Source organism: Homo sapiens, chromosome 10 (genome assembly GCF_000001405.40).
Source record: "Homo sapiens chromosome 10, GRCh38.p14 Primary Assembly".
Classification (NCBI taxonomy): Eukaryota; Metazoa; Chordata; class Mammalia; order Primates; family Hominidae; genus Homo; species Homo sapiens.
Window position 1 is genome coordinate 54,580,640 of NC_000010.11, and position 26,383 is coordinate 54,607,022.

Sequence of the window (26,383 nt, forward strand, 5' to 3'; positions counted from 1 at the left end):
ATGAAAAAAAGAAAAACTACAGGCTAATATCCATGATGAACATAAACACAAAAATCTCCAACCAAACACTAGCAAACCTGATCCAACAGCACATCAAATAGCTATACCATGATCAAGTAGCCTTTATTTCTGGGATGCAAGAGTAGTTCAACATGTGCAAATCAATAATGTGATTCACCACATAAACAAAATTAAAAACAAAAACCATGTAATTATGATCATCTCCATAGATGCAGAGAAAGCTTTTGATAAAATCTAACATCTCTTCATGATAAAAATACTTAAAAAATGAGTCACCAAAGGAACATACCTAAAAATAATAAGAGTCATCTATGACAAACCTATAGCCAACATCATACTGAATGGGCAAAAGCGGGATCAATCCCTTGAGAACTGGAACAAAGCAAGGATGCTCACTTTCACTACTTCTATTCAATGCAGTACTGGAAATCTTAGAGCAATCAAAGAAGAGAAAGTAATAAAAGACATCCAGATATGAAAAGCAGTCAAACTATTTCTCTTTGCTGACTATATGTTTCTACACTAAGGAAACCTCAAAGACTCTGCTGAAAGGCTCCTGAAATGGATAAATGACTTCAGTAAAGTTTCAGAATAAAAATTCAACATACAAAAATCAGTAGCATTTCTATAATGTTCAAGTGGAGAGTCAAATCAAGAACACAATCACATTTACAATACCCACAATAAAAATTAAATGTCTATGAATACATCCAACAAAGAGGTGAAAGATCTCTGTAATAACTACACAATATTGCTGAAAGAAATAATAGATGACACACACAATTATAAATTCATTCCACACTCATGGAAGGTAAGAATGAGTATTACTCATGGTCATACTGCCCAAAGCAATTTACAGATTCAATGCTATTCCTGTAAAACTACCAATGCCATTTTTAACAGAAATAGAAAAATAGGATTCTAAAATATAGAACAAAAAATAGCCTGAATAGCTAAAGGAAGGTAAACAAAAAGAAAAAAGCCAGAGGCATCATATTATCCGACTTCAGCTATACAATAAGTCTACAATATCCAAAATAGGACGGTATTAATACAAAAACAGACACATAGACGTATGGAACAGAAAAGAGAACCCAGAAGGAAAGCTGCACACCTATAATCATACGATCTGTGACAAAGTTGACAAAAGTGAACGCTGGGTAATGTTCAATATATGGTACTCAAAAACTGGCTAGCCATATGCAGAAGAATGAAACTGGACTCCTACCTTTCACCATATAATAAATTCACTCAATTCACTCAAGATGGATTAAAGATTTAAATGTAATACTTCAAACTATAAAAACCCTAGAAAAAAACCCAAGCAACATCATTTTTGACATTAGGCTAGGAAAACAATTTATGGCTAAATCCTCAAAATCAATTGCAACAAAAGCAAAAATTGACAATTGGGACCTATTTAAATTAAAGAGTTTGCACAGCAATATAAAAAAATTTTAAAAAGATCAACAGAGTAAATAGATAACCTGCAGAATGGGAGAAAATATTTGTGAATTCTGCATCTGACAGAGGTCTAATACCCAGAATCTATAAAAAACTTAAACAAATTTACAAGAAAAAAATAACCCTATTAAAAAGTGGGCAAAGGACATGAAGAGGTACTTCTCAAAAGAAGACATACAAACAGCCAACAAACAAATGACAAAATATTCCATAAAGATTGTTAAGTTCCATTGGATCGCATGATAATTTCATTGAATCTGTGACTGGTAAAATTTACAGCTTCAGTAACACCAGATGTAAAATGAAGAATCTATATGTTGGTCAGGTTATAATCAAGACATTATTTTTCTTGTCATAATTACACATACTCTTTTATCATGTATTTTCTTGAGGAAATACATATATGCAAACAAAACGGTAGGTGCTCTTATTTTCTTTTTAAACAATACAATATGAAATATAAATGTACACTAGATGCCACCCAATTTAAGAAATAGAACATTACTGGCAAGGTGTGGTGTCTCACTCCCGTAATCACAACACTTTGGGAGGCTAAGGCTGGAGGATTGCTTGAGGCCAAGAGTTCAACTAGCATGGGCAATGTAGGGAGGCCCTGTCTCTACGAAGAAAATTAAAAAATATAGCTGGGAATGGTGGTGCACACCTCTCGGCAGGAGGATCACATGAGCCCAGAAGTTCAAGGTTACAGTAAGCTATGATTTTGCCACTGCACTCTAGGCAATAGAGCAAGAACCTGTTTCCAAAAAAATAAAAATAATGAAAATATTTGATCTAAAGAAAGGAATATACCATGTTTTCCTTTATTTAGCATATTAATAAAAACAATAAAGATACACATATTTCAGTTACTGGTATCTTAGAATATCTTGCATATATACAATCTGAGCTTTTTGATCAGGAAAAAAATTTAAAAGAATCTCTTGCATACCTTTTCTTACACTATCCTGAATTTTGCGTTATTACTTGCCATAGTTGATAGACAGACTATAATGTATGCACCCCTAAACAGTATATAGTTTTTCCTTTTTTAACTTTATGAAAATAAAATTATACCCTTGAATTTATACCCAAAAATTCTCATATGAAATATTTTATCCATGCAATTAACAAATTTAATCCAATGGCTATAAAATATAGACTATTATACCAAACAATTGAGGAATTAGAATGATTCTATAATGTCTTTTATTTACTTGTGCTACTTGGATAATTGTTATTTTCCTCCATTTTATTTTACTAAGTGGAGGGCTGGTTTATGTTACCTTTTCATGGAGAGGACAAAATTAAAGGTATCTCAAGGCAAGACTAGGTGTGGGCCTGTAGACAACACTAAAATGAATATAAGGAGAGAGATATGCTAGTAAGGGATACCACAATGGGCAAATGCTTTTATTTTTGACCTATGGATGGGAAGGGATACACAGACCTGTAGGGTTAATGGTATCCAAACACATAGAAATTCTAACATACAAGCATTCAGTAGATAAGATTATCAACTCCCAATTTCTACTAAAAAAAAGTTCATATGCTAATCAACCATATCAGTTGCTTCAATTATAAACCTCATTTACAAGTCTTAATAGAAAAGGAATTGATTTTTTTCTGCTTTCAAAGAGAAAATGAGTGAAAATAGACACCCTCTAAAGCATATTCAACACCTACCCAACAAACTTTCAAAGGTAGATCTATTTAGCTACCACCATTTACTTGAAGTTAAAATGGTACACAAAAATCTATTGCCTAAATGGTAGTCTTCATTTTATCATTTAAAATTAAGATTCGACTAAAAGATCAATAGAAAAATATTTGATCTAAAGAAAGAAATATACCATGTTTTCTTTTATTTAGTATATTAATAAAAACAATAAAGATACACATGCTTCAGAATGGAAAGAAAGGTGTTTACTTTTAACGGCAGAACATATCAATCACCTCATTATTACATAATATATTATTTAAGGTCAAGTGTAGATGCTCAAGCTTGTAATCCCAAAGCTTTGGGAAGCTGAGGAGAATGACTTGAGCTCAGGAATTTGAGACCACTCTGGGCAACATAACAAGACCCCATCTCTATAAAAAGGAAAACAATGAAAATAAAATTAGTCATGTGTGGTAGTGCCCACCTGTAGTCCTAGACCCTTGAGAGACTGAGGCAGAAGGATCACTTGGATGCAGGGTTTTGAGTCTGCAAGGCTGCAGTGAGCTATAATCATGCCACTGTACTCAGGCCTAGGTGACAGAGCAAGACCCTGACTTTTTAAAGGAACTGTATTTGCTTCTATTAAACAGGTCACAAACACTCTCAATAGTTTTTTTTCTCAAAGTTGAGATATATGGAACAAGTTTTTAAAATTTCACCATATTGATAAAATTATCCCCTAAATCTATCCAGGGTAATATATTATCCACAATAACATATTTTCATATCTTCTTTCTTTTACTCCTTACTGGTTTTCTACTGCTTCAATAATTTGTTTTTCTCTTTATTCTATCTTGATTCATGTCTAGTTCTTGTTTCCTATGATATCCTCCTTGTAATTTTAACCCAGTTCATCCCTCTAATCTTCCATTCAGTATCTCTCTGCTGTGTAGGAAGCATAACTGTGCTGAGTTCTTGGCTGGACCACTGAAATCAAGTAATGACTGAATATAAATCAGAATCATGGCTGTAAATAAAAAGAATGTGACCAAATGTCCATTAGCAATGATAGTCTAGTCATATAAAAATGTGGCTATTTTCAATTAATAAAACAAAACAAGGAAGAAAAAGTAAAGACAATGTCAGGAACGATGATAAGAATAAGCATGTAACAAGCAAATGGTAGGTTTGCTTCAACCAAATGGTAGGTTTGCTTTCATTACATGAAAATTTTACCAAATTGTACATATAAAGTCTTCTAAGAACAATATACAAATAACATTTTAGTATATAAATTGGCTCAAGAAAGTCATTTTTCAGGGACTCTAGATTTATAGGCTCTTTAAGTCTCTTTAAAACTGTAAATGACCCACAGAAGTTGGCTGCCCTAAAGGTTTAGATTAAATAAACCATCCAGTGCACAATTCAAATATAAGCTGAACAACCTTAATTGGAATATCTATCCTGTGCGGTTTTCCAGTTTCTGATTTGGTACTCCCCAAGTAGCAATTTCCTATGAATTACCGTTTCCCAACTAAGAGGTACAGAAATTCCCAGTTTCTTTAGGAGGCTGAATATTTTAAAACTTCGGCTTTATTAAGGTTTTCAACAAAGTTCTAATTAAACTACACTTCATTAATGGCTTACCCCCCTACCTTAGAATAAGGAGAGCTTTCTTACAATTATTAAAGCTAACCTTCAGAACTGTTGTTAATAACAAGACTAAGAACAATTTTTAATTTTTTTTAACTTCATAGCTGTAGGCTAACCAATAGTTAACAAATAATTCATTCATTTCATTGGCATCATCAGTCCTCCTAGCAATATGTGTTTTTTTTTTTTTTAATTTAAGACTTGGTGGGGGAGGCGGTGAGGACTGTGCAATTACTAGTCACTGTTTTCCCACTCATTGGTACTATTAGCTTAACAGATAAAACCACAGATAACAGCCGCAATCAACTTCAGCAGGTTCCCAGAGGCAAGCTCTTGCTTTTTGCTGATTAGCTTCATTCAATTATGTCTTCTTAATTGTTCATGTGCTACAGCTCATTAAATGAAAAATAATATTCCTTTCCTGTGGGTAGGGCACTTGAGATTTGAAAAATAGCCACTTCATCTCTGCCTCAGAGGCACAAGTAAGTTGATCTGATGGTGTCTGAAAAAGCTCAACAGATTTGTGCAGATAGCCCTGCCCGAGAAGGGACAATAAAATTAATAAAATTGATTGTTAAATCAAGTCAAAAATAAAATTACTCCCAGTATTTTCCTTTAAGATTAATTTTCAGGAAAATTAGACCCAGTTTTGTAGCATTTGATTATGTTCACCTCTGTAATATAATTTTCTTTGTAAAAAGATCAGTTATTGCTGTTCCATTACAGATGGGATTTAGGGAAAGTGGAGTAAATTTTTAAATTTTTCTGAAAATAGATTTTGACAGATTAAAAAGTGTGTCACACAATTTATTTATGAAATATTCTAGAAATGGAGAAGGTAAGTTTCATTCATTAAAATAGATTCATTGAGTACCTACTATGTTCCAGGCCTTTTGCTACACAATGAGGATACAAAAGGTCTTAACTTCAAGAGGTTTATTAGTCTGGTGGAGTAGAAATAATAATTCAATAATAATCCATTAGCTAATATATACTGGCTATTTACTAAGGACCTATAAAGTACTTGGTCGATATGTGTCACCTTACTTAATCTTTTTAACGATCTTATAACATAGACCATATCATATTTTTTATTATAGATGAACTAAGGCTTAGAAAAATTATATTGCTTCCTGATATCACATAACTAGCAAATGCTAAAGTTTAGTTTGGGACAAGATATGTATGACCTTGTAGCATTCCTATTTACAGGTACTCCTCAATTTACAGTTCCTATATGCATACATTTCAGTCACCATGTTTAGTTAAGTTAGACCAGTTACCCAGCTCAAGCGATTCTCCCACCTCATCCTTCTAAAGTGCTGGGATTACAGGCATGAGCCACCACACCTGGACGGATGTGCCATAGTTTGTAAAAGAGTTGAGAATGGCTGCTAGCTAGTAGAAAAAAATGGTGATATTAGAAACATGGGTATATTTTCAAATGAATTCCAAAAGTTTGAGAAAGTAATAGAATTTTTGTCTGTTTTGTTCTCTGTTATTTCGCAAACACAGATACTCAGTACATATTTTTGCTTTTTTTTAAGGAGATGAAAAAGTCTGACATGATTTTATAAAAAATAAAATTTCAAATTTCAGCTACCACAGTGTATTAACTGTAAGTAATTACATAAGTACAAATTTTGCTCCTTGCTCTTTGGTCCAAAATCATTATGTAAATAACAGGTGTGCTTCATGATCAGTGACCATTGGCATCATCTTTTTAAATGTCTGTCAGTGATTGATCACTACACATCTATTATTCATCACATGCAGACAGAAAAGTGTGCAGTTATGTTGTCTCTGTTTCCCATTGATAAACACAAGTGCCATTTCTTAAAAATAAATAATTGAAAGAATTGGCCAGAAAAGATAAAAGTACAACATAAAGTAAAACGTTGAGTCCAGTGAAAATGGAGCTACAGCAAAATCCCTGTGGGAATATTGACACTGCTGCCATCTGAGGAACTTAAGCTTTGCAGCCAGAACAACTTAGTGCAGAGGAGCTTATTGACATAAATGAAGAAAGTGGATGTGATGAAAAGGATGAAGATGTATCAGGCTAAGTGACGCCAGCAAAAACCCAAACACACAATAAAAAAAAAAAAGACTTACATTAAAGGAACTTACAGAGATACTTAACAATATTGAAAGCATCAAAGCATAAAGTGATGAAAGCTGATCCAAATTTAAGATTATGACAATTTGCCAAGGCATAAAACATTGCCCCCTTCATTGTAAGCCATGTAAGAAGAAATCAATCACTATTCAAACTATTAGTAAACATTTTTTAACAAACAAGTAAACTTTAAGTCTTTAACATCAATGTAATTAAGAGGGAATTGGCCAGCATATGTGAAAGTATAGCAAACAAATGAAAATAATGATGCAAAAAATAATAATGTAAGATATGAGTTGAATATAAACAGAGTTATAGAAAGAAAGAACTGACTTTAATTCTTTTATTCCCAGTGTAAATTCCAGGATGTTAAATGAATATGTTTTATAATTTATTTATTTTCCTACACATTTGTAAGTGACAGTAAAAGAGTTTCTAATATTTTGAAAAGAAATTAAAGGTTATGGAATAATATTTATTCTTGATTATTAAGATAAACTTGCATGATTTCAGCTGAGATTATCATGTTTATCATCCTTCACTACCATGTAAAGCGAGAAGTGTGGGTATTAACTTATTATCTGTTTGTTTAAAGTGAATGACACACAGCTTAGTGTTACATCAACAGAAAAATATTTAAGAGGAAATGACACTAAATCAATTTTAAGATAATGCTTCTATTATGTATGTTTCTGTATCGTCTTTCTAAACATAATTATGGAAAAGGCATCCCAACTGGTGACATAATTATTGCCAATAATATAATAGTAATGACAATATATTTGTTGGTCAATTAAAAGTAACTACATTAGCTTTGGTAAAACTACATTTTTCACTTACATGATTAAAGACACTTATCAGTGCTCTTGTGATCCTACTTTAAGATATACATCTTCATATTAATTTGTAAATGAAATGTGGGAGTTTTTCATAACCAACAGGTTTAAAGCTGTGTGAAGATATGTGAGGGAAATATATAGTTATGTCTGTAAGAATCAGTGATGTGCCATACTTTGTGTTTTGTTGTTATTGTTTTCTTGAGACAGGATCTCACTCTGTTGCCCAGCCTGGAGTGCAGTGGCATGATCACAGCTCCATGCAGCCTCTACTTCCCACTCAAGCGATTTTCCCACTTCAGCCTCCCAAGCAGCTGTGACTACAGTTGCATGTGACCACACCCAGCTAATTTCTATTTTTTGTAAAGACACGGTCTGACTATGTGGCCGGGGCTAGTCTTGAACTCTTGGGCTCAAGCGATTCTCCCACCTCATCCTTCTTAAGTGCTGGTATTATAGGCATAAGCCACCACACCTGGACTGATGTGCCATAATTTGTAAAAGAGTTGAGAATGGCTGCTAGCTAGTGGAAAAAAATGGTGATATTAAAAACATGGGTATATTTTCAAATGAATTCCAAAAGTTTGAGAAAGTAATAGAATTTGTGTCTGTCTTGTTCTCTGTTATTTCCCAAACACAGATACTCAGTACATATTTTTGCTTTTTTTTAAGGAGATGAAAAAGTCTGACATGATTTTATAAAAAATAATTTTGATGTTAGTAATCATTACTCAACATATTTTTGAAGAGTCTAAAGGAAATTTCCACTGTTTCAAAAGATCCCACCTTCCATTTCTCTCTATCTCATCTCCTAGCAATCTACCCTTCATTTATTGTACTCTAGTTGTGCTTATCTTTTTGGTCTTTATCAAACACAACAAATATTCTGAGACCTTAATATTTCTGTTCCCTCTCCCTGGAACACTATTCCTCAAGAAATAAAATTAGGTAATTATTTCAATCAAGCTGGTATTTAAACATCTTCTGCTCAAGGAGGCCTAGCTGATAATCTGTATTTAATGTTCCAGTTTTCCTATACTCTCTCTGAACCCCCATTGGCCATTCTATTTTGTTTTATCCATAGTGCCTATCACCTGTTGGCATATTATATGAACTCTTTGTTTATTAACTTATTTGTTAATTTTATTGTTTATCATTTATGTCTATCAATGGCATGTAGACTCTAAGAGAGCAGGCATATTTGTGTGTGTTATTCATTGATATTTCAAGATTACCAAACAGTGTCTGTCATATAGCAACCATTCTTTTTTTATTTTTTTCTGAGACAGAGTCTTGCTCCCGGGTTCACACCATTCTCCCACCTCAGCCTCCCGAGTAGCTGGGACTACAGGTGCCCACCACACCCGGCTAATTTTTCTATTTTTAGTAGAGACGGGCTTTCACTATGTTAACCAGGGTGATCTCGATCTCCTGACCTTGTGATCTGCCTGCCTCAGTCTCCCAAAGTGCTGGGATTACAGGCATGAGCCACTGTGCCCGGCCCGTTCATTACGTAAGAATAAAGAAATATCCCCTTGACATGAAATTCTGTGTATTGGAATAATATATATACCATGGCAATGAGCATTTGTCATTATCTTAGTCAGCAGTATATATTTTCCTAGACAATGAAAAGACTCCCAACTGGCCTTTTGTATGACAAAAAGAACTGCTAATCACTTTCCCAGTTTGGCTTTTATTTATCTCCAGATTAAAGTGTTATTAAGGATTAATTTAATGTTATTTTATTCCATTTAGTGAACTTTTAAACAATAAAACACTTTTATCTATGTTGTTTTGCACCCATATGACAATAAAGTGTTATCATGCCCATACTATAAGTAGAAAAACACAGGTAGAAAGAACATAACTGATTTGCTCAAAGTCATATAACTCAGAAGTGACCGAATACATTTGCCTGACTCCAAAACTTGGTCTGATTTTATCATCCCTTGCTGGCTGTCAGATCTGATATATCAGTCCAAAAATTACCTCTTGCTTAAACCGATGTTTTGGATGACTTTTGTAATTTTCTGCGTTCCATCATTTATTAGCGCCAATATATAAATGGTTATTTAGAATACAGAGGTTTACACATATTCGGGACCAACATTCCAAAAATGGCTTAAATATTTCTGGCAGCCTAATATTATCTACGGAGAATTATTTTCCTCAAGAACATTAGTGAGATGTGCTATAATAATGGTTGAGCAAAGTAGCACAACACTAGATGCTGTGTAACTCTGGGAACACCTTATTTCCTGCTCTGATAGAAATCTGTTAAAGACCCTCATCTGTTACAGGCAGAGAGAAGAGCAGAGTAAAAGTGCTTTGCCTACCTAAAGGGATTGTTGTAAGAATCTGATGAGTTAAACTGTGTGAAAGCATTTTGCACCCTCTAAATCCATACATTTACATGTGACTTCCCTGTATGACACAAGCTAACAAACAAACTAGAAACAAGCAAACAAAAAAAAACCGAGACACAAAAATAAAATATCTTTCTGTTACCTCATTTGGGAAGGGGTCTAAAAACCCAGAAATAATAGTATTTACATGTACATGTAGTTGGTAAACATTCAATGGAGTAAAAAGTAAATTAAAAATAATACCATTAGCAGAGGGGAATGTATTTTTACTTATGCATATATACCCACATATTGGATTTGTCTCTATTTCATCTGTAGGACCTAGCCACTAGCCAAATGCCCGAAGCCCCTAGAACCCCAGTGCCTAGTGTGGTATGCAGAAAATAATGCCCTGTTATATGTCCATTACCTAATTCCAAGAGCCTTGGAATATGTTACCTTACCTGGTAAAAAGGACTTTGTAGATGTGTTTAAAGTTAAGAACCTCCATATGGAAAAACTGTCCCAAATTATCTGGATAGACCCAATCTCATCACATTAGTTTTAAAAATATTAAACCTTCCTTGGCTGTGGTCAGGGAGAGAAATGTGATTGTAGAAGAATGGCAGGCAAATGTAACATTGCTAGTTTTGAAAACAAAAGGAGTCCAGAAGTCAAGGGACGTGGGTGGCCACTATAAGCTAGAAAGATCGAGAAAACTGATTCTCCCCTAGAGCCTCCAGAAAGTAGCATTACCTTGCCAATTTAACCTGATTTTAATCGTCAGACCTGTGTCAAGCATGTGACTTAGAGAAGTATAAGATATTACATTTGTGTTGTTTTAAGGCACTAATTTTGTGATAAATTGCTAAGACAGCAGTAGATAACTAATACAGCTAGAAAACAATTTTAAAATACATTTTAAAAAGAACTTCAACATGCCAATATCTAATGAATAAAACCAAAAATAGGATGAAAAATTAAAATGAAACTTAGAATTTTTCTATATTACATATTTGGGAAATTTGAATTATTTCATAATATTCTGATCTCAAAAATATGAAAAAAGTAGCTTGTCTAGTTATCATTCACCTGAAAGCAACTGTTTTAAACCTGTCATTACAATCTGATAAAAAGTAATATGTCTCATTCAGTCCCAACTACGCTCAACATGACCCAATCTTGTCAGAACCCAATGTGAAGCTTCAAGTGTACAGGAATTTACAATGACAATGCTCCATGGAATTTTCAATGACAATCAATGTTCCAAAAAAGCTATGACCTACACTTGAGGCTATCCCAAGGAGAAGCAAATATCATAGCAGCATCTTACATTTGTGAACACAGTGGTAAATATAGAGCATACAAAACCATGCATGGGTATTTTCTTCTGTTTTTAACAATGGATAATGAATGTCAAAAGTGATATTCAAACTAGCAATATGCAAGTTAAAATTAAATCCATAAAGCACAGCAAAATAAGCATTTGTTCCATTGTAGAGCTCACGTTTCCTTGAGCACTTATTTTCTTTCTTTTCCCTCCTCTCTGCTCCTGTCCCCTCCCCTCCCTCCTTCCCTTCCTTCCTCCTTTCCTTTCTTCCTTCGACTTCCTTCCTGACTTCCATTTTTCTTTTTTCAGCTTTATTGAGGTATAGCTGACAAGTAAAAATGAACATATTTAAGGTGTGCAACTTGATTTTTGTATATGCATACATTGTGAAATGATCATCATAATCAAGCTAATTAACATATCCATCACATCCATAATGTAAAACATATCTAATGTTGTACATTAGATATACTGTTACCATGCTGTACAATAGGTATATGCCACATTTTCCTTATTCATTTATCTGTCCATGGACACTTAAGTTGTATCCATACCATAGCTATTGTATATAAAGCTGAAATGAAAACTAAAGCAAATATCGATTCAAAATTATTTTATTTCCTTTGAATAAAGACTCAGAAGTGGGATTGCTGAAGCATTTGGTAGTTCCATTTTTAATTGTTAAAGGAATCTTCATATTGTTTTCCATAATGGCCACACCAATTTACATTCCCATCAATATGTCTTCCTTTTTCTCCACTTCCTTCACAAAATTTATATTTTGAAGTTTGATAATAGCCATTCAAACAGGAATGTGGTGATACATTTTTGTGGTTTTGATTTGTATTTCCTGATAATTAATGTCATTAATCTTTCATCTTTCATCTACCTATTGACCTGTCGTCTTTCATCTAGCTGTTTGCCATTTGTACATCTTTGGATTAATGTCCATTTTTGTAAATTTATTTTTCTATTGAGTTTTGTGAACTCCTTATATATTTTGAATATTACCTTTTATCAGATATACAGTTGCAAATATTTTCTGTAGTTTGTCTTTTCAGTCTGTTGATTGTTTCTTTTACTGTGCAGAAGCTTTTTAGTTTGATGCAATTCCACTTCTATACTTTTGTTTTTGTTGCCTGTGCTTTTGCTCTCATATCCAAAAAAATCATTGCCAGAACCAATGACAAGAATCTTTTTCCTGATGGCTTTTTGCTATTAGTTTTACAGTTTCAAGTCTTATGTTTATGTCTTTAATCCATTTTAAGTTAATTTTTATTTTTGTATGTGGTAAGAGCTTATCTTCATTTTTCTACATGTGGATATCCAGTTTTCTCAGCACCATTTATTGAAGAAAATACCTTTTCCCCAGTGTGTATTCTTGGTGCCCTTATTGTAGGCTGGTTTACTCTAAGTGCATGGATTTATTTCTGGGCTCTCTGTTTTCTTGCATTAATCTATATGTCTGTTTTTATGCAAATTCCACACTGTTTTGATTAGATTTGTAAATTATTTTGAAATCAGAAAGTGTGATGCCTCTAGCTTGCTTTTCTTGCTCATAATTGGTTTAGCTATTTGCTATTTGGAGTTTATTGTGGTTCCATATAAATTTTAGAATTTTTTTTCCTATTTCTGTAAAGAATGCCATTGGAATTTTGACAGGGATTGCATGAACCTGTTGATTCCTTTTGGCTAGCATGGCTACTAAAACAATATTAATTATTTCAATTCATAAACATTTATTTTCCATGGATGAATGTTTTTTCATTTATCTATGCTTTAACATTTTTCCTTGATTCCTCCTCCAAGATGGCCAACTAGATGCAGCCAGGAGAAACATCTCCCACAGAGGGACCACGACATCAGGAAGACGGGTGTACCCCTAGTAAATCTTCAGAGGGAAGGCATTGAGAGCAGATAGAGAGAAGATACAGAAGGTGGGATAAAGGGAGATGAAGCTGGGAATGCTGCATGTGGCTACCACACACCAGGACTCATTCCTGGCTCCCAGCAACTCCTGTGGAAGGGGTGAGTTGAACAGAAATGAGCAACTCACTCTCACCATGAGCCTCTGGAATCATAGCAGGAGGAGTCTTGTCAGCCACCATGGACACTTGAGTTGGCAGAGAAAGCTACTTAGTGAAGTGGTAGGGACAGAACTCCAGCTGCAGCAGAGCCCATGGGGTTTGGTGCAGGAGCATCTATAGTGGAGAACAGCCAGGGATGCCCATCCCCCTAGGCTTGATTTGCTCCTATAGTAGACATTAGCCCTAAGGAAAGGGGTGAACGTAGACTCTGTAGAGCAGTCTTGCCCATGAGATGAGCCAGGCCCCCTGAGCACCCTTTGGTGTGCTGTCTTCTCTTTGGGCCCCAGCCTGCCTGTACCTGCTAGCAGTGTACCCCCCCAGGCACCTCAAGGGGGCCTGCCTCATTGCTCCTGCACTGGTGGACTGCAGCTGACTGGGAGAGTGCTCCAGAAGAGCAAACCCTGTGTATACATATAAGACTGCCCATGTCCTCCCCACACTACAGCCTCCTCCATACTGCTTTGCTGGCAGGCACTCGCTGCCAGCGATCCCCATACATCTCTTTGCCTGTACATGTGTTTGCAGACAGACCTAGCCTTTCCTTCTCTGACAGTGCATGTGTACACATGTACCATGCCATGCCATGCCACTATTGCTGGCTTGAGTGTGCCCCATCCCTTCTCCCCCTGTTGCACTGCCATTTTTGTTGGAGCATTGGAGGGCATATAGTTTGACAGCTCTGCCACCACCAGTGCTCCACTCCTGTGCCAAAACTGCTGGCATGAAACTAAGCACAGAAAACAGTGTATCTACTCCCATCCCTGAGAGGTCACTGCTGTAAGCAAGAATGCTCACAGAGGGTGCACACAGTCCTGCGACCACTAGCGCCCCATCCCTGTGCTAACACCAGCACCAGTACAAATGTGCACACCATTGCCAGCAGGGCCCTCCACCTTCCCAAACCATACCGCCACAGCCACTACTACAAACACCCACATGGAGGCTGTCATCTTCCATGTGGATGGAGGATGCCGCTGGTACATGCAAATGTGGACACATCCCACTACGACTGTCCTACAAAATGCTTTGGCTGGGAGTAGCCATTAGAGTGTTGTGACCAGCAGTCTGAGATCACATTGACCCCTCCAGTGCAGCAGGTTCCTAAACTTGATCCACAGGTAATAGCTGGTGTATGATACCAGTCTCCCAGAGTTAGAGCACACAATGCAGAGTGCTGAGCTGAGCCTTGGCCACCTGAAGTCTTCCACTAACAAAGCCAGGTGACTGAACACAGCTTATACCATAATCAAACCCTCAAGGTCATAAAATAGAATAAAAGAAAAAAAATCCAAAGGACAGCAACTTCAAAGATTGAAGGAACACCAGCCCACAAAGATGAGAAAGAACCAGTGCAGGAACTCTGACAACTCAAAAAGCCAGAGTGCCTTCTTTCCTCCAAATGAGCACACTAGCCCTCCAGCAAGAATTCCTAATGAGGCAGAGGTAGCTGAAATGACAGAAATAGCATTCAGATTATGGATAGGAATAAAAATCATTGAGTTTTGGGAGAATGTTGAAACCACATCTAAGGAAGCTAAGAATCACAATATTAAGATACAGAAGGTAACAGACAAAATAGCCAGTACAGAAAAACAAACAAACAAACAAACAAAAAACATAAATGACAGGATAGAGCTGAAAAACACTCTACAAGAATTTCATAATGCAATTGTATTAAGAGAAGAATACCAAGCTAAGGAAAGAATCTCAGAGCTCAAAGACTGTTTTTCTTAAATAAGATGGTCAGACAAGAATAAAGAAAAAAGAATAAAAAGGAATGAAGCAAACCTCCAGGAAATATAGGAATATATAAAGAGACCAATATTATGACTCATTGGTGTCCCCGAAAGAGATGAGAAGAAAGAAAGCAACTTGGAAAACATAAGTCAGGATATCATCCATGAGAACTTCCCCAACCTAACCACCAATATTCAAATTCAGAAAATGAAGAGAACTCCCACAAAGTACTTCACAAGAAGATCATCCCCAAGATACATAATTATCAGGTTCTGTAAGGTCAAAATGAAAGAAAAAAATGTTAAAAGTAGCTAGAGAGAAAGGACAGATCACCTACAAAAGGAAGCCCATCAGACTAACAGCAGACCTCTCAGTACAAATCCTACAAGTCAGAAGAGATTTGGGACCTATATTCAATAACCTAAAGAGAAGAAATTCCAGCCAAAGAAATTTATATTTGGCTAAACAAAGCTTCCTAAGTGAAGGGAAATATGATCCTTTTCAGAAAAGCAAATGCTGAGGGATTTTATTACCACCAGACCTGCCTTACAAGAGCTTCTGGAAGCATTAATATGGATGGGAAAGACCATAACCAGCAACCACACAAACTCACTTAAGGACACAGACCAGTAACACTATAAAGCAACCAAACAAGTCAGCATAATAAGTCGACAGCAACAGGATAACAAGATCAAATACACATTAATACTAACCTTGAATGTAAATGAACTAATTTTCCCAATTAAAAGGCACAGAATGTAAGCTGGATAAAGAACCAAAACACAATTGTATGCTGTCTGCAAGAGACCCATCTGACATGCAGTGATGCCCACAGAATCAAATAAAGGAATGGAAAAAAATCTGCCATGCAAAGAGAACACAGAAAAAAAGCAATTATTGCAATCCTAATTTCAGACAAAAAAGATTTTAAACCAATAAAAATAAGAAATGGCAAAGAAGGGCATTATATAATAGAAAAGGGTTCAATTCAACAAGACCTAACTAGCCTATATATACATGCACCTAACACAGAAACATTCAGATTTATAAACCAAGTTCTTAGGGACCTTCAAGGAGACTTAGGCTACTACACAATAATACGGGGAAATTTTGACACCCCCACTGACAGTATTAGACAGACCATTTAAGCAGAAAATTAACAAAAATAATCAGAACATGAACTTAACACTGGACCAAATTGAGCTGTGAAACAGCTACATAACTGTTCATCAAAAAACAACATAATGTACATTCTTCTCATGTACACACAACACATATTCTAACAATGACCACACAATCAAACATAAAGCAATCCTCAGCAAATGCAAAAGAAACGAGATCATACCAACCACTCTCTTGGACAACAGCACAATAAACATAGAATTGAAGAACAAGAAAATCAGTCAAAACCATACAATCACATGGAATTTAACAACCTGTTCCTGAATGACTTTTGGGTAAATAATGAAATTAAGGCAGAAATCAAGAAGTATTTTGAAATTAGTGAGAACAAAGATATAATATACCAGAATCTCTGGGACACAATTAAGGCAGTGTTGAGAGGGAAATTCATAGCACTAAACACCCCCATCAAAAAGTTAGAAAGACCTCAAATTAACAACCTAATATCATAGTTAAAAAGCTACAGAAGCAAGAGAAAAACAACAACAACAACAAAATAACAACAAAAACAAACAAACAAAAAAACCCAAAGCTAGCAGAAGATAAAAAATACACCAAATCAGAGCTGAACAGAGACTGAGACATAATACAACCATTCAAAAGATCAACGAAGCCAGGAGTTGACTTTTTGAAAACATTAATACAATAGATAGACCACTGGTTAAACTAAGAAAGAAGAAAACAGAGAAGATCCAAATAAACAGAATCATAAATGAGAAAGGGAATATTACCACTGACCCCACAAAACTACAAATAACCATCAGAGACTACTATGAAATCCTCTATGAACACAAACTAGAAAATCTAGAATAAATGGATAAATTCCTACACACATACAGTCTTCCAAGCTGAACCAGGAAGAAATTAAATCCCTGAAGATAACTATAACAAATGCTGAAATTGAATCAGTAATAAACAGCCTGCAAACCAAAAACAGCCCTAGACCAGATGAATTCACTTCTGAATTCTACCAGATGTACAAAGAAGAGTTGGTGCATTCCTACTGAAACGGTTCCCCCACAATTGAGAAGGGACTTCTCCTCAACTCATTCTATGAGGCCAGTATCATCCTGATAACAAAACCTGGCAGAGACACAACAAAAAAGAGAACTTTAGGCCAATATACTTGATGAACTTTGATGCAAATATCCTTAACAAAATACTACCCAGCTGAATCCAGCACTATATCACGAATCCACCACAATCAATATTCTTTATCCCTGGGATGCAAGGTTTGTTCAATATACAAAAACCAATAAATATGATTTATAAAATAAAGAGAACTAAAGACAAAAGCCACATGAACATCTCAATAGATGCAGAAAGACTTTTGAAAAAATTCTGCTTCCCTTCATGTTAAAAACTCTTTACAAATTAGGTATTGAAGGAATATACCTCAAAATAATAAGAGCCATATATTGCAAACCCACAGCCAACATCAGACTGAATGGGCAAAAGCTGGAAGCACTGTCCTTGAAAACCAGCACCAAAAAAATGATTTCTCCACTTGCTATTTCTATTCAACACAGTATTGGAAATTCTGACCAGAGCAATCAGGCAAGAGAAAGAAATAAAAGGCATCCAAATAGGAGGAGAGGAAGTCAAACTAATCCTGTTTGCAGATGAAATGATTCTATATCTAGAAAAGCCCAGTTTCAGCTCGAAAGCTCTGTAAGCTGACAAACAACTTCAGCAAAGTATCAAGGTATAAAAATCAATGTACAAAAATGACTACCATTGCTATACATCAACAACAGCCAAGCTGAGAGCCAAATCAGGAATACAATCCCATTCACAATTGCCACAAAAAGAATAAAATACCTAGGAATACAGCTAACCAGAAAGGTGAAAGATCTCTACAATGAGAACTATAAAACACTGCTAAAAGAAATCAGAGATAACAGAAATAAATTTAAAAAAAAATTCTATGCTCATGGATAGGAAGATTCAATATGGTTAAAATGACCATATTGCCCAAAGCAATTTGTACATAAAATGTTATTCCTATCTAATTAGCAACTACATTATTCCTATCCAATTAGCAATTACATTCTTCACAGAACTAGAAAAAAAATCAATTTTAAAATTCATATGGAACCAAAAACATAGCCCAAATAATCAAGGGAATCTTAAGCACAAAGAACAAAGCCGGAGGCATCATGCTACCTGACTTCAAACTATCCTACAGGGCTACAGTAACCAAAACAACATGGTATTGGTACAAGAACATATGCATAGACCAAAAAAACAAAACAGAGAGTCAAGAAATAAGTCTGTACAGCTACAACCATCTGCTCTTTGAGAAAACTGACAAAAAATAAGTAATGGGGAAACAACTCCCTATTCAATAAATTGTGCTGGGATAACTGGCTAGCCATATGCAGAGATTGAAACTGGACCCTTTCCTTACATCATATACAAAAATCAATTCAAAATGTATTAAATACTTAAATGTAAAACCCAAAACTATAAAAGCACTGGAAGACAACATAGGCAATACTATTCTGAACATAAGATCTGACAAAGATTTCATGGAAAATATGCCAAAAGCAATCACAGCAAAAGCAAAAATTGACAAACTAATTGAAAAACTGGTACACTAGTCTCCAGTGAAAGCAACTGCACCTGAAGTTAATGGAAAGAAAGAAGGGGAAAAGGAAGAAGAAGAGGAGGTAAAAGATGAGGGTGATAAGTTAGACCAAGCTGAAGAGGGAGGATCTGAGAAGGAAGCCTCTAGTGAAAAAGAGGAAGGTGAGCAGAAAGAAGGAGAAACAGAGGCTGAAGGTGAAGTAGAGGAAGCCAAAGCTAAAGAGGAAAAGAAAGTTGAGGAAAAGAGTGAGGAAGTGGCCACTAAGGAGGAGTTGGTGGCAGACACCAAGGTGGAAAAGCCAGAAAAAGCCAAGTCTACTGTGCCAAAATCACCAAAGGAAGAGGCAAAGTCAAAAGCAGAAGTGGGGAAAGGTGAACAGAAAGAGGAAGAAAAGGAAATCGAGGAAGCTCCCAAGGAATAGAAGGTAGAGAAAAAGGAAGAGAAACCAATGGATGTGCCAGAGAAGAAGAAAGCTGAGTCCCTGGTAAAGGAGGAAGCCATGGAGGAGGCAGTCACCATTACCAAATTGGTAAAGGTGCACTTGGAGAAAGAGACCAAAGAAGAGGGAAGCCACAGCAACAGGAGAAAGAGGAGAAAGTGGGAGGAAATGGGGAATGAGAAGGAAGGGAGTGATAAAGATTCCAAGGAATCCAGGAAGAAAGACATAGCTGTCAATGGAGAGGTAGAAGGAAAAGAGAAGGGAGAGCAGGAGACCAAGGCAAAAGGCAGTGGGAGGGAAGAGGAGTAAGACATTGTCACCAATGACCTAGACTTAAGCCCAGCAGATGAAAAGAAGGGGGATGATAAAAATGAAGATAAAGTGGTGGTGACCAAAATAGTAGAAAAAATCACCAGTGAGAGGGAGATGGTGCTACCAAATACATCACTAAAACTGTAACCATCACTCAAATGGTCGAAGAGCATGAAGAGACCTTTGAGGAGAAACCAGTGTCTACTAAAAAGGTAGAAAATGTCACTTCACATGCCGTAATAAAGGAAGTCACCCAGAGTGACTAAGATTTGAGTCCACTGCAAAAGTTTAAGCCATACGACAATTTCAAAATGCATGTGATTGACAGCTTCAAAACAGAACAGATTCTCCCATAGGGGCTCCAGACATTGTATTTTACTTTGTGCAATATGAGGAGACTGCATGCAAGCTCAGTGTGCTCCCCCCTCAGTCTTTGGGGGATTCAAATGCATGATACTGTATGTACCTGGGAAATTTACCAATTTCCTGCACTGTTGGAAGGGGGTCACTCAGAAGGGGAGATGTCTTGAGATGTATTATGTAAAGTACCAACTGAGCCAAAAACAATAAATGAAACACAGAACTCTCTTAGCCTTAAGAAAGCTATATATGAATAATTATGTTTACCACACTGGTGCATTTAAAATGGACTTTTCTTCATGGGAGAACCTCGTTGACACGGACAGTTTGCAATCTTATGTTGATCGATGTGAAATGTCATAGCAGTACTTGCTCAATAAAGGTCATATTGGAAACATAGTCAAAAAATAAATAAATGAAAGAGCTTCTGCACAGCAAAGGAAACTATCAACAAAGTTACCAGACAACCAATAGAATGGGAGAAATTATTTGCAGATTATGTAGCTGACAAAGGTCGATTATCTAGCATCTATAAGGAATTTAAACAAATTTACAGGAAAAAAACAAACAGCCCCACTAAAAAGGGTGAAAAGTATATGAACAGACACTTTTCAAACACAAAAACAAAAAAATACTTGCAGCCAAAAAAAAGTATTTTAAAAAAGCTCAACATCACTGATCATTAGAGACACGCAAATAAAAACCACAATAGAAAACATCTCACACCAGTCAGAAAGCTTTTTATTAAAAAGTCAGAAAGTAGCATATGTTGGCCTGGTTGTGGAGAAGAGGGCTCACTTTTACACTGTTGGTGGGAGTATAATTTAGTTCGTCCATTGTAAGAAGCAGTGTGGTAACTCCTCAAAGAACCAAAAACAGAACTGCCATTTGACCCAGCAATCCCATTACTGGGTATATAGCCAAAGGAATATGATTGATGTATTATAAAGACACATGCCCACATATGTTCATTTCAGTAAATGTGGTACATATGCACCACGGAATTCTATGCAGTCATAAAAAGAATGAGACCATGTCCTTTGCGGTAACATGGATGGAGCAAGAGACCATTATTCTATGCAAACTAATACAGGGACAGAAAAACAGAAAACAGAAATACTGCATGTTCTCACTTATAAGTGGGAGCTAAATGATGAAAACACATGGACACAAAGACAGCAACAACCAGACAGTGAGGCCAACCAGAAGGTGGAGGGTAAGAGGGAGAGGATCTGAAAAAAGTAGTTATTAGCTACTTTGCTTAGTACACAGGTGATTAAACATTCTGAATATCAAACCCCCATGACATAATTTTACCTATATAACAAACCTGCACATATACCCCTAAACCTAAAAGTTTTCTAAAAAAGAAAAATGTTGTATTTTGCAAAAAGTAAACATTTTCCTTTATTAATACTTTATAATTTTCAGTGTATGTATTTTCCTGTTTGATTAAATATATTTCAAAGTATTTATTCTTATTATTATATAAATAGGATTTTTAAAATTTCCTTTCAGATAATCTATTTTTAGCCTCTACAAATGCCACTTACTTTTATTTAGAGCAACTTTACTAAATTCATGTATTAATTGTAGCATTTTTGGTTGTCATTGAGACTTTTAGACTTTTCTGCCTATACACCTATATGTCAACTGTAAACAGAGATAATATTACTGTTTCTTGTCTAGTTTGAATGTCTTTCATTTCTTTTTATTGTATCATTGTTCTTGACTAGAAGTGGCAAGAGCAGGAAATCTTGTACAGGATTTTAGAGGAGAGGCTTTTGGGTTTTCCCCATTGATTATTATGTTATCAGTGGGCTTTTCTTATATGGCTATTATTGTGATGAGGTAGGTTTTCTCTACACCTATTGTATTGAGAGTTTTTTAAATTAGAAATAGGTATTAAATTTGACAAATATTTTTCCAGAACTTATTGAGATGATCATATGGTTTTTGTGTTTCATTCTGTTTATGTAGTGTATCACATTGAATGACTTATGCATGTTCAACCATCCTTGCACCCCAGGGATAAGTCCTAGTTGGTCATTGTGTACAATTTTTTCAATGTGTTGTTGCATTCAGTTTGCTTGTATTTTATTGAGCATTTCTGAGTCTACATTCATCAAGGTTACTGGCCTGTAGTTTACTTTTCTTGTGGATGTCTTTGGTTATCAGGTCGATGCTGGCTACATGAAATGAGTTTGTAAGTGTTCCATCATCTAGATTTTCAAATAGTTTAAGAAATATTATTAATTCTTTGAATGTTTGCTGGAATTCTCCCACAAAGCCATGCAGTGCTGGACTATTCTATTTCTTCTTCAATCTTGGTAGGATGTATCTTTCTAGGAATTTATGTATTACTTCGCATTTATCTAATTTGTTGGTGTATATTTATTCATAACAGTCCCTTAAGGGCTCTTTTTATTTCTGAGACATCTGTTGTAATGTTTCCTCTTTCATATACAGTTTTATTTATTTCAGTCTTCTCTCTCTCTTTGGTTACTCTAGGAAAGGATGTGTCAGTTTTATTTGTCTTTTTCAAAACACAACTCAGTTTTGTTGACTTTTGAAATAGCTTTTTTGTCCTTTTTAAAATTTATTTTTTGCCTTAATTAGCATTATTTCCTTCTTTCTGATAATATTTGGGTTAGTATGTATTTTTTTCTGTCTTTGGCTAGTTATTTTTTTAGGTTGTTTATTTGAGATGTTTCTTTTTTTTTTTCTTCCTCAGAAACATTTAATAGGTATTAACAAACAGAAGCCATGTCTCTCGAGGCTGTGAGACAAGATGGTGGATCCCCATGCCATTAACCCCCAGAACCCAGGGCTTATATACTATAGGTAAGGAGAATTGAAGTAATTTGGTCAGAATTTATGGTAAGTGTGTGCTCTTAACAGTAGTAGAGTAAAAATCTTAGAGGCATTCCCAGAACCGAGGTTAATGAAAAGCCAACATGTTGGATTAGCATTTAAGACAGAATTGGTTTAGCCTGTACACTCCACCTATCTGACCCAGATTTTACAATTTCACATTCTCTCTTCTTCCAAGATGGTCCCTGAGCCTAGAGAGAGGTTGTTTGATATTGCACAGCTTTAGCAGTAGTGCATTGGCAATGGAAAACAGATTGGGCCCAGTTGCTATAATGTTCCTTCTCAGAAATACTTTTGCTATATCTCACAACTGTTGGTATGTTTTCTTTTCATTTTTGTCAGGAGGTAATTTTTAATTTTTTAAATTTAATCTTGGACCCAATGATTGTTCAAGAGTGTATTGTTTAGCTTCCATGTATTTGTGAATCATATGGTTTCTTGTTTCTTTACCATTAACTGATTTACACTTTCACTCTATTGTGACCTGAAAAGATACTTGATACAGTTTCTATCATCTTAAAGTTGAGTTGTTTTGTTATCTAATAGGTGATCTATTGTGAAGAGTGTTCCATATGTGCTTGAAAAGAATGTACAATCTTCTGTTGTTGGGTAAAAAGTTCTGTAGATGTCTGTTAGGTTAATTTGGTCTCTCCTATTGTTCAAGTAAGCTGTTTTCCATTGATTTCTCTGTGGATGTTCTGTCCATTATTAAAAGTGGAATATTAAAATCTTCTAGTATTATTGTGCTGCTATAAATTTCTCCAGTTCTGTCAGTGTTTGCTTTAAATATTTAGATCTGATATTGAGTGCATATACATTTACAATAGTTATATCTTCCTATTGAATTAACCTTTTTATCTTTATGTAATGACCTTCTTTGCCCCTGGAGACAGTTTTTGACATAAAGTCTATTTTGTCTAATGTAAGTATAGCCATTCTGCTTTCTTTTCATTACCATTTGCATAAAATATATATTTTTCCATCCTATCATGTTTAACTATGTGTGTCCTTAAATAGTTGGTGCCAAGTTTTTATTCTTTCAGCCAGTTAATATCGTGTGATTGGGCAGTTTAATCCTTTTACATTTAAAGTAACTATTGATAGGGAAGGATTTACTATTGAAATTTTACTGACTGCTGTTTTTCTTGTTCCTTTTTTTCTTTCTTGATGTCTTATTTTGTGTTTCTTTTTTTGTTATTGTTGTTTGACAGGCTTTAATTCCTTTCTCCTTTTCTTTTATAACTAGTTTTTTAACTACTGTAGGTAGTAGATTTTCTTTTTTAAGTACTATGGCTATTTTCTGTGTGAATGACATGAGTCTTACATAAAATATAATTATAATAATCTAAAACTGATAACTTCTCTTCCACACAAAAACTTCACATTTTTACCTTGTTCCCATTATAGATTATTGATATCAGAATTTACATATCTTAACATGTGTATCTATTAATGTAATTTTAGTTATACCTATATTTAATACTTTTTTAAATTTTAGATTAGAATTAAAAGTGATTTACCTACCACAACCACAATAATATAGTATTTTTTATTTGCCTCTATAAATTTACCATTACCGATGAGTTTTATACTTTTGTATGCTCTTATATTGTTATTTAGCATCCTTTGATTTCAACTTAAAGTACTCCCTTTAGCATTTTTTATATGACAAGTCTAGTGGCAATAAACTCCCTCAGCTTTCGATTTTTTTAATTTTGTCTTAAGTTTTAAAGGATAATTTTCTGGGTATACTGTTTTGATTGGCAGTTGTGTATTTGTTTGTTTGTTTCCGCATTTTAAATGTATCATCCAACTCCCTTCTGGCCTCCAAAGTTTCTGCTGAAAATCCACCAATGATCATAGGAGGGTTCCCTAACACATAACAAGTTGTTTTTCTTTTGCTGCTTTCAGTGGTCTCTGGGTGTCCAGAGTATGCCAGCTCTCATCATTGCCCTGAAACAGGTGAGATACTGATCCTTTTTAGTAGTAACCATAAATGTTGGGGCACTAACTGGATTTTCCAATTTCTTCTCTCCTCAGGGAAAAGCTGGGTGTATAATCTGCTCATGCTGAACTGAGCTGGGGAAAAGAACTATGGCAAATGTTTGCAAGCTCATTCAAACCACAGACTTTTTCAAACTGTTGCTTTGATCTCTGTAGCCTCCATGGGCCTAATGGATGCTGATCTCCATTAGTTCTCATAGACACGTCAGTTGAAAGCTAGTTCCTCAGGTAGCAGCTGGAAAAGTTAAGGGGATAGATATGTAGATAAATTCCTTCCAGACTGAAGCTAGAGGCTTGCTTTTATCATTAGAGTGAGCAAGTGGGAGAATTTGTGGAAATATCCACATGCCTGTTTAAAATGGCTGCTTTGTTTTCTATAGCCCACATGTAAATAGTGAATGGCAACACCAATAGCTCTCATAGACAGTGAGTTAGAAGCCAGACCTCAGGTAGGAGCTAGAAAACTTAGAATGCTTGATTTGTAGTCTAACTTCTTTCATAGAGAATCTGGGAACTGGGCTTTGTTGTTGTAGCTAGTTGGTGAATGAGGAGGTGAAGTGGAGGAGATATGGGAAGAACCCATTTGTTTGGGCATTTTTTCTCAATGTACCTTAGTTTGTCTGTAGTAGCTGGCCACAGTAGTGATGATTCTATTTCCTGAGAGGTGAGAATTGCTGCCAAAGAATGTCTGCCATGGATGAGAATACAAAGAAAGGAAACTAAGAACTCTCAAAGCAGCTACTAGAAACCCTTCATAGAGGACAAGAATTATCTTCAGTTTTGAGATATATGAGAATGATTACAACTCCTTTGAGCAGGCTTCACATACTGCCCAAAGATGCTTCTCTAGTTTGTGTCCTTCTTGCTATCAGAAAGAGAGAAGGAAACTAAATAAAACAAAATAAAAATTTTAGAATTTTGTGCTGTCTTGGACATGGAAGCAATGGGTCAGGATCAAGATTGTGGAAAGATGCCAGTTCGGATGCAGGCTAGAAAAATTAGTATTGTCCTCAACTGGAATCAGCAACCAAAAGACTAAGTGTATGTGTCTCTGTAGGCTGAAGGGTTTTCAGATATCATAAAAGATAAGAAGTCAAGCTACACTTGTTTGGAAGCATGTGGCAGAGAACACAGATTAATTGTTTAAAGGATGGCCCAAACTTAAGGCCAAGTCACATCAAACCCATCAGAAACCAAAAGTGTGGCAGAATTCCTAACAGAAGGATGAGAGAGGAAGAGCCTTATATAGATCTGTCTTCTGTTTCACATTCTGACTATTCTAAAGCTTTTAATGAAGAATTCCCTAGAGTCATAAAACAAAGGCTAAATGGTGAGTGGCTGCAAATACACATAAAAATATAGTGAAT

The 26,383-nt window shown here is 35.4% G+C and overlaps 1 protein-coding gene, 1 long non-coding RNA gene and 1 pseudogene across 21 annotated transcripts in view; 2 read left to right on the forward strand and 1 right to left on the reverse strand.

The window, feature by feature from the left end:
• The window catches only part of PCDH15 (protocadherin related 15), a 1,825,172-nt gene that overhangs the window by 777,869 nt on the left and 1,020,920 nt on the right, over positions 1 to 26,383 (reverse strand). The window lies entirely within an intron of this gene.
• The window catches only part of LOC105378311 (uncharacterized), a 169,822-nt gene that overhangs the window by 94,410 nt on the left and 49,029 nt on the right, over positions 1 to 26,383 (forward strand). The window contains exon 3 of the long non-coding RNA NR_134503.1: positions 25,053 to 26,346. This is a non-coding gene — a long non-coding RNA (uncharacterized LOC105378311). The remainder of the gene's footprint in view (positions 1 to 25,052; positions 26,347 to 26,383) is intronic.
• Positions 19,039 to 20,241, forward strand: NEFMP1 (neurofilament medium pseudogene 1; annotated as a pseudogene).